The following is an 8,783-nucleotide window of genomic DNA, read 5'->3' as shown; positions in this document are numbered from 1 at the left end:
GTAAGGTTTTTTTTATTGTTGAACTGATTCATGTTGTTTTATCAGCAGTTAATTTCTTCCTTTTGCTATTTTTTCTTTTTGGGACAGGGTCTCCGTCTGTCACCCAGGTTAGAGTGCAGTGACCCAGTCATGGCTCACTGCAGTCTTGACCTTCTGGGCTCAAGCAATTCTCCTACCTCAGCCTCCTGGGTAGCTAATACAGGTGTGCATCACCATGCCCAGATAATTTTGCTTTTTCTCTGTAGAGATGGGGTCCTCACTATATTGTCCAGGCTGGTCTTAACTCCTGGGCTCAAGTGATCCTCCCACATCAGGCTCCCAAATTGCTGGGATTACAGGCATGGGCCATCACACTCGGTCATCTTTTGCTAAGTATTATTCCACTGTTTGAATATATCAGTTTATCTGCTCTCCTGTTGATGGACAACTATCCCTTTCCAGTTTTTGGCAATGATGAATAAAACTGCTGCAAGTCCTTTGGCGGACATATACTTTCACTTCCGTTGGGTAAATACACAGAAGTGAAACAACTGGATGAACGAATAGGTGTATGTTTACTTTTTTATGAAAAACTTGAGGGCCTTTTCCCAAAGTGGTTGTTCAGTTTACATCAGCAATGTTCAGTGGTTGTTCAGTCCATCGGCAATGTTGCTCCATGTCCTCTCCAACATTTGGTGTTGTCATTTTAATTTTAGTCATTCTAGTGTAGTAGTATTCTCAATGAGGTCTTAACATTCATTTCTCCCATGATAACAATGTTGAATACTTTATCATGTACTTCTTAGTGATTCATATATCTTCTTTTGTAAAGTATCTGTATTTTTGAGTTGTAAGAGTATTAAGATACATTCTGAATATAAGTTCAGATATATGTGTTGTGATTATTGTATCCTGGCCTATGGGGTATCTTAATGGTATCTTTTGATGAACATAAAGTTCTAATTTTTTGAAATCTAATTTATCAATATTTTTGTTATATGGTTAGTGCTCTCATGCTCTCATGGTTCTTTCCAAGGACTTTTGCTTACCCCAACTTGTGAAAATATTCCCCTGTTTTCTTCTTTAAGTCTAATAGTTTTAGCTGTTATGTTGTGACCATGTTTTATCTCTAATTTTTTGTATGGTATGAGATCAGGGTCAAAGATTCATTTTTTTCCTTATGAATATCAAGTTTTTATAGCATCATCTGTTGAAAAGATTTTCCTTTCCCCATTGGATCACTTTGGCACCACTGTAAAATATCAAATTACTTTATATTTAAATTAATTGCACTACAGATAGTACTCAACTTTCTATAGTTCAACATACAAGTTTTTGACTTTATATATTTATTTATTTGAGACAAGGTCTTGCTCTGTTGCCCAGGCTGGAGTACATGGGTGTGATCATGGCTCACTGTAGCCTCAGACTCCTGGGCTCAAGTGATCCTCCCAACTCAGCCTCCCGAGTAGCTATAAGTGCAAACCACCACAGGTAATTTTTTTTTTTTTTTGAGATGGAGTCTCACTCTATTGCTCAGGGTGGAGTGCAGTGGTGTGATCTTGCCTCACTGCAACCTCCGCCTCCTGGGTTCAAGCAATTCTCCTGTGTCAGCCTCCCAAGTAGCTGGAATTACAGGTATCCACCACCATGCCTGGCTAATTTTTGTATTTTTAATAGAGATGGAGTTTCACCAACATGGCGGCCAGGCTGGTCTTGAACTCTTGACCTCTAGTGATACCTGCCTCATCCCAAAGTGGTGGAATTACAGGTGTAAGCCACTGTGCCCAGCCTGTGGCTGGATAATTTAAAAATTTTTTTGTAGAGGTGGGGCCTCACTTTGTTACCCAGGCTGGTCTTGAACTCCTGGGCTCAAGTGATCCTCCCACCTTGGCCTCCCAAAGTGTTGGGATTACAAGCATGAGCTGCAGCGCCTGGCCAAATCCTTTCCTATGATTTGAATTCAGTTTTACAAACATTATCTTTTTTTCTTCAAAAAGAAAATAATCATAATGATAATAACAGCAGCTACTTATAAAGCATTTACAAGGCATTATAACAAATATCTTATACTTGGTAATCTCGCTCAAATCATCTCAATGACCTTCTATGTAAGGGTTATTATCTCATTTTACAAAAAGGAAACTGAGGTTCGAAGATTTACCTAAGGTCATATAAAGTCTGACTCCAGAAGTCCAATTATACCATTTTGTCATCCTTAAAAAAGTGATTTATTGGTCTCTGATACTAAGTTATTCTTCAGTGTATTATATTGCTGTTCTTCATAATTCCATTAACAAATTGGGTGTCATTTCAGGGCCCAGTATTAAATAATGATCTTTCTTCCTCAGTTTGCTGTACACAGGGAAAAGACAGAAAAAAATTCCTATATGACAAGTTTTTGTTTGTGTCCAATTACAGAGTTCCATAAGACTATGATTTGAATATTGTGGTACAACTTAAATTTGGCACATTATTTAATTATCCAAAGTTTATTACATGTTTGAGTGCACATTAAAGAGATTATTTGGCATAATTGACAAGATAAAATTTCTGTACCTTATTTGACTATCAGGTGTATATGTGGTATATTTATGTATGTGTGTGTATAGACACACATATACTCCTAAATTAAATATATTTGTATAAAAAGCTAAAGATTACTATGTTAAGATTAATTCATTAAAAAATCTATTATATTAAATTGCATCTGCATTCAAAGCAGAAATGTAAAAAAACAAATCAGTGTACTAAATACACACGAATTTACAAAGTAATTGAAAATGAAATAAAAATTTCTATTGAAATGTTATATTCTTGTTTAATTGGCATTTAAGTGGCACTATCAAACTATGGAAATAAACATCATTTTTTAGATTGTTGAGATAATAAAGATTCTACAAGCATTACCATACCCTTGTACCCTCTAAATTAAGATTCAGCATTATTATAGTAGGAAAAAATGGCAGATAATTTTCTTCTTTATTAATATGGGAATTCTCAGGAAGCAATTAGGGCAGTGTCTGCACTCCTGGGCTTGTGTTTTCAGCTCTTCCATCAGTGGAAGTCTGGCTTCTCAGGAAAGGTGCAGCCAGTCCGTCTAATTATGATGCTTGCTGCATAGTGGCCAGCACGGATACATTCAGTCAGAGGCTTGTCAGAGACCAGTTGAGACAGAAAACCTAGAACACAGGCAAAAAAAAACACATGAGTATTGTATAACAGCAGCAGAAATGTCATATTGGGTCAGACCAATATATGATCTAAGCACCTGTCTCATTCTTCAGCCTTGACAGTAAGAGAAAGTCTTGTGCGTTACCGTTAGGGAGGTCTTTTTTTTTTTTTTTTTCCCCGAGATGGAGTCTTGCCCTGTCACGCAGGCTGGAGTACAGTGGCATCATCTTGGCCACTGCAACCTCCGCCTCCCAGGTTCAAGCAATTCTCCTGCCTCAGCCTCCTGAATAGCTGGGACTACAGGCATGCACCACCATGCCTAGCTAATTCTTGTAGTTTCAGTAGAGATGGGGTTTCACCATGCTGGCCAGGCTGGTCTTAAACTCCTGACCTCGTGATCTGCCTGCCTTGGCCTGGGATTACAGGTGTTGAGCCACTGTGCCCGGTCGGGAGATCTTTTCCCAAACATCATGAGCTTCCCCTAATATTTATTCTAAAGAGCTCAAGTTGAGACACAACAACTTGCCATCAAGTCAATCTGGTCTTCCTTTTTTTTTTTTTTTTTGAGGTGGAGTTCCACTCTTGTTGCCCAGGCTGGAGTGCAATGGCATGATCCTGGCCCACTGCAATCTCTGCCTCCCAGGTTCAAGCCATTCTTCTGCCTCAGGCTCCCGAGTAGCTGGGATTACAGGTGCCTTCCATCACGCCCAGCTAATTTTTGTATTTTTAGTAGAGATGGGGTTTCACCATGTTGGCCAGGCTGTTCTCAAACTCCTGACCTCAGGTGATCCGCCTGCCTTGGCCTCCCAAAGTGCTGGGATTACAGGCGTGAGCCACCACACCCAGCCAGGGAAGCATATGTTGATAGGGTCTCAAAATCAACATGGTGAAACACCGTCTCTACTAAAAATACAAAAGTAAATTATCTATACTGGTAATGTGTATATATAATTATACATACGAGCAATGAACAATTAGAAGTTACTAAGAATAAGCCAGGCATCGTGGCTCATGCCTATAATCCCAGCACTCTGAGAGGCCAAGATGGGTGAATTGCTTGAGCTCAGGAGTTTGAGACCAGCATGAGCAACATGGCGAAATCCTGTCTCTACAAAAAATACAAAAATTAGCCATGCATGTTGGTGCATGCCTGTAGACCTAGCTACTCAGGAGGCTGAGGTGAGAGGATTGCTTAAGCCTGGAAGGTTGCGGCTGTGGTTAGCTATGATCATATCACTGCACCCCAACCTGGGTAACAGAGTAGGACCCTGTCTCAAAAACAAAAATTGATTAAAAAGTTAAGAATATTTATCCATATTTATTCTAAGGTACTTCACATACTTCAAATATTTGAAGTACCTTAGAATAAATCTGACAGAAGTTGTGTAGGGCCTGCACATTGAAAATGACAAAACAATGCTGAGAAATATAAAAGAAGCCTAAATAAATAGACATAAAGTGTTCAAAGGTCAGAAGATTCAATATTATCAGTTCTGCAGGAATTTTTCTATTAATTCATTGGAATACTAATAAAAATTCTAGCAGATTTTTCTTATAGAAACTGACAAGCTGCTTCTAAAATTTATATGGAAATTCAAAGGACCTAGGTTAGCAAAAACTCAACTTTGAAAAAGAAGAACAAAGCCAGAGGATTTATACTACCTGATTTCAAAATTTATTATAGAATGATAATAACCAAGACACTATGGTATTAGCATATAGACAAATAGATCAATGGAACTGAACAGAGTCCAGAAATAAACCTACTTCTGTATAGCCAACTGATTTTTGACACAGGTGCCCAAACAATCCCATCAAGAAAGGACACTTTAACAAATTGTGTGAAAAAAAAGCATTTCAACCTTTACCTTACACTATCTACAAAAATTCACTTGAAATGAATCACAGACATAAATGTAAGGAATAAAATCCTAAAACTCTTGAGGAGAAAACATAGAAGAAAATCTTAGTGATCTTGGGTTTGCTAAAGATCACTTAGTAAGAGGTAAAAAGTATGAACTTTTCTTTTTTAAAAATTTATTTATTTTTGAGACAGTGTCTCACTATCACCCAGGCTGGAGTGCAGTGGCACACTCATGGCTCACTGCAGCCTCGACCTTCTGGGCTGAAGCTCTTCTCCCACCTCAGCTTTCCTCTAATTCTTGCATTTTTTTGTAGAGATGCTCAGGTTGGTCTTGAACTCTTGGGCTCAAGTAATCTGCCCGCCTTGGCCTCCCAAAGCACTGGGATTACATGTATAAGTTACCACACTTGGCTAAGAATGCAACTTTTATAGAAGAAAAAATAATCTGAACTTTGTCACAATTAAATACTTGGTACCTCAATAACAAGAAACAACTCAACACAAAGTAGGCAAAAGTATTTAACATTTTAGCAAAGAAGATAGATGCCAAATAAGCAAATGAAAAAATGTTCAATATCATTATTCATTAAAGAAATGCAAATTAAAATCACAATTAGATACCACTGCACACTCGCAGAATGGCTAAAACTGAAAAGACTGACTATAACAAGTGTTGGCAAGGGTGTGATCAACTGGAACTCTCACACACTAATTGTGGGAATGTAAAATGCTAAGACCACTTTCCCAAACCATCTGTCAGTCTTAAAAAGCTAAACATGTGCATATCATATGATCCGTTCTATTTCTAGGTATTTACCCAAGGTAGGTGAAAGCACATATCCACACAAAGACTTGTAAATGAATGTTCACAGCAGCTTTATTTGTAATAGCCCCAAACTGGAAACAATCCAAAAGGGGATGAGAAGGAGCAGGAAGGCATGATTAGAAAAGGCCATGGGAGCAGTGGATATGTCCATAGTGATGGTTTCATGGGTGTACACATATGTCCAAAGTTATACAATTGTAAACTTTAGATTCATACCGTTTATTGTATGTCTATTATGCCACAATAAAACTGTGAAAAAAGAAAAAAAGGATAATTGCAAATAAGACAGGTCAAGAGCAGAAGAATCTGGGCTACCTTCCCCTTAGGGGAAACCTGAGCTGCTGAGCTGCTGCAGTTAACACTCAAATACTCAGAAGAGCAGATAATAATGAGAAACTGTGCTGCAGCTAGGCTTCTGGGCCTTCCCTGAGGCCCTGGGCAGCCTGAGGGGGATGAAGGTTAATTGAGAAGCTGTGGTATAATGACCTGTAGAGAACATTATAAGTGATTTATGTCCTCCTTCTTCTACCATTCTGACCACACAGACTTTTCCCAGTCAGATTTGGGGAATGCTCTGTATTAGATGAAACAAATAAGTATTCCCAACCAAAGAATAAAATTAAAATGGTTAATAGAATGATGTATTTTAAAGACATTTGCTGAGACTGTAAAATCACTCTCTCAAGAGGTTTAGTAAGAGTATTTTATCACCAAGTTTTCAGGTAACAGTCAAAAGTCAATATTAACTTTTCTGCCAAACTGTGAGGCGAAAATGCTCAGTCCACACAGTGAATGGAGCAGATGCCAAATTCAGAGTCAGATCAGCTTACAATGCAAACATGTCTATTAGACGCCTTATAAGCAACATCTGTTTTCTTCATTCCGCCTGGTATGATCATTGTGAGAAAAAGAAAAAGCTCATGTTTATGAAATATTTTTGTGAAGCAAAACCACCAGCATCCTTTTTCTAAGAGAACTAGATGATGAATGAAGTATTCTGAAGAATCTTTTGCTTTGACAAGTGGAGAACCTGGATGCTGAAAAAAGCTAAGACCTTTGCCCAAGGTGAATGTCAGTTTTTCAATAATCTATTTTTAAAAACCAACTAAAATGAAATACAGATACTACATAATCAGTTATAAGTGGAATCTTCAAAAAGTATCTGATGTGAATCTTGAAAGCTGTATAAAATTGTTTAAATAAACAAAGGGAGCTTATATTTAAATAATTGTAGGGAATCCTTTTATAATGGAAGTAAACATCCCCAAGATACTTTTTTATTTTGAAAAATATACGTAACATAAAATTTACTATTTTAACAAATTTTAAATGCACAATTCAGTGACATTAAGTACATTCACAATGTGCAACTACTACCTCTATGCATTTTTAGAAGTTTTTCATCACCCCAAAAGAAACTCTGTACCCATTAAACAATAACTCCCCACTCCTCTTTACTTCTAGCCCCTGGTAACTGCTACTCTACTTTTGTCTCTATAAATTTGCCTATTCTAGGTACCTCATATAAGTGAGATCATACAATATTTGTCTTTTTGTGTCTAGCTTATTTCACTTAGCATAATGTTTCCCAATATAATCTTAGTTTAGATTTTTAATTATTAGCCTGCTTAAAATGTATTTTATTTGAAAAGGATTCCAAATTCAGAAAAAAGTTGCAGGAATAAAAATAGTACAAAAAGCATCTGCATATCATCTACCCAGGTGCACAATATTGTTAACATTTTGCACCATTTGCATGTACTCTTTCTCTGCATACAATTTTATTTCCCTGAACTATTTGAGAGGAAGTTACATTTACAATGTCTTTTTACTTCTGAAAACTTCAGTGTATCTTTTCTGAGAATAAGGATATTCTCTTACATAGCTACAGTGTGGACATCAACATCAACTTCAGTAACACTGTTATCTAATCTACTGTCCATATTTCAATTTAGTCAATTACCCAATAATATCCTTTATGGAAATTTTCTCCTCTGGAACAGAGTCTAGTTCAGGATTTAACTGTGGTATCTTTATAGTTTTTAAAAATCTGGAACATTTCCTCAGATTTTGACTTTTGAGATACGGACATTTTTGAAGAATATAGTCATAACTTACCTCACCTCATTTTTAATTTATTTGTTATTTATTTGAGACAGGGTCTTACTCTGATTGCCCAGGCTGGAGTGCAGTGGCATAATTTTTTTTGGCTCACTGCAGCCTCAACTCCCTAGGCTCAGGTGATTCTCCTACCTCTGCCTCCCGGGTAGCTGGGACCACAGGTGCACACCACAACGCCTGGCTAATTTTTTTGTACTTTTAGTAGATGGGGTTTTGTCATGTTGCCCAGGCTGGTCTCGAACTCCTGGACTCAAGCAATCCACCCGCCTCAGCCTCCTAAAGTGCTGGGATTACAGGTGTGAGCCACTGTGTCTGACGCGCTTATCCCATTACTTATTTATTTTCCCATTTTTAATAGACTGATTCTAATTTTGGATTTGTCTAATATTTTCTCATGATTAAGTTCAGACTATGCACACCCAGGCAGACTACTACACACATTATGATGGATCCTTCTCAAAGTGTCACATTTAGAGGCACATCATGTCCATCTGCTGTGCACTGGTGATAGGAATTCTGACCACCTGATCAAGGTGTTGTCCTACTTCTCCATTGTATAGTACCTATTTTTTCCCTTGCATCTAACAAGCAGTTTGTGAATAGACAATTTAAGATCACATAGGCCAGGCACGGTGGCTCACACGTGTAATCCCAACACTTTGGGAGTCCGAGGCAGGCAGATCATGAGGTCAGGAGTTTGAGACCAGCCTGGCCAACATGGTGAAACCTCGTCTCTACTAAAAATACAAAAATTTGCCAGGTGTTATGGCACTTGCTTGTAATCCCAGCTACTTGGGAGGCTGAGGCAGGAGAACTGCT

General features: G+C 37.9%; 1 protein-coding gene across 11 annotated transcripts in view; it reads right to left on the bottom strand.

Annotated features, from left to right (window-relative positions):
* ADK (adenosine kinase) overlaps window positions 2,192-8,783 on the bottom strand; it is a 558,070-nt gene continuing 551,478 nt past the window's right edge. For all 11 annotated transcript variants that reach the window (NM_006721.4, NM_001369123.1, NM_001202450.2 and 8 more), the window contains one exon: window positions 2,192-3,161. In NM_006721.4, coding sequence (NP_006712.2) covers window positions 3,037-3,161 — 125 coding nt within the window. In that variant the 3' untranslated portion in view covers window positions 2,192-3,036. The remainder of the gene's footprint in view (window positions 3,162-8,783) is intronic.

This window comes from Homo sapiens, chromosome 10 (genome assembly GCF_000001405.40).
Source record: "Homo sapiens chromosome 10, GRCh38.p14 Primary Assembly".
Classification (NCBI taxonomy): Eukaryota; Metazoa; Chordata; class Mammalia; order Primates; family Hominidae; genus Homo; species Homo sapiens.
The sequence above is the reverse complement of the archived record's forward strand: the minus strand, read 5'-3'. Positions and strand labels throughout refer to the sequence as shown.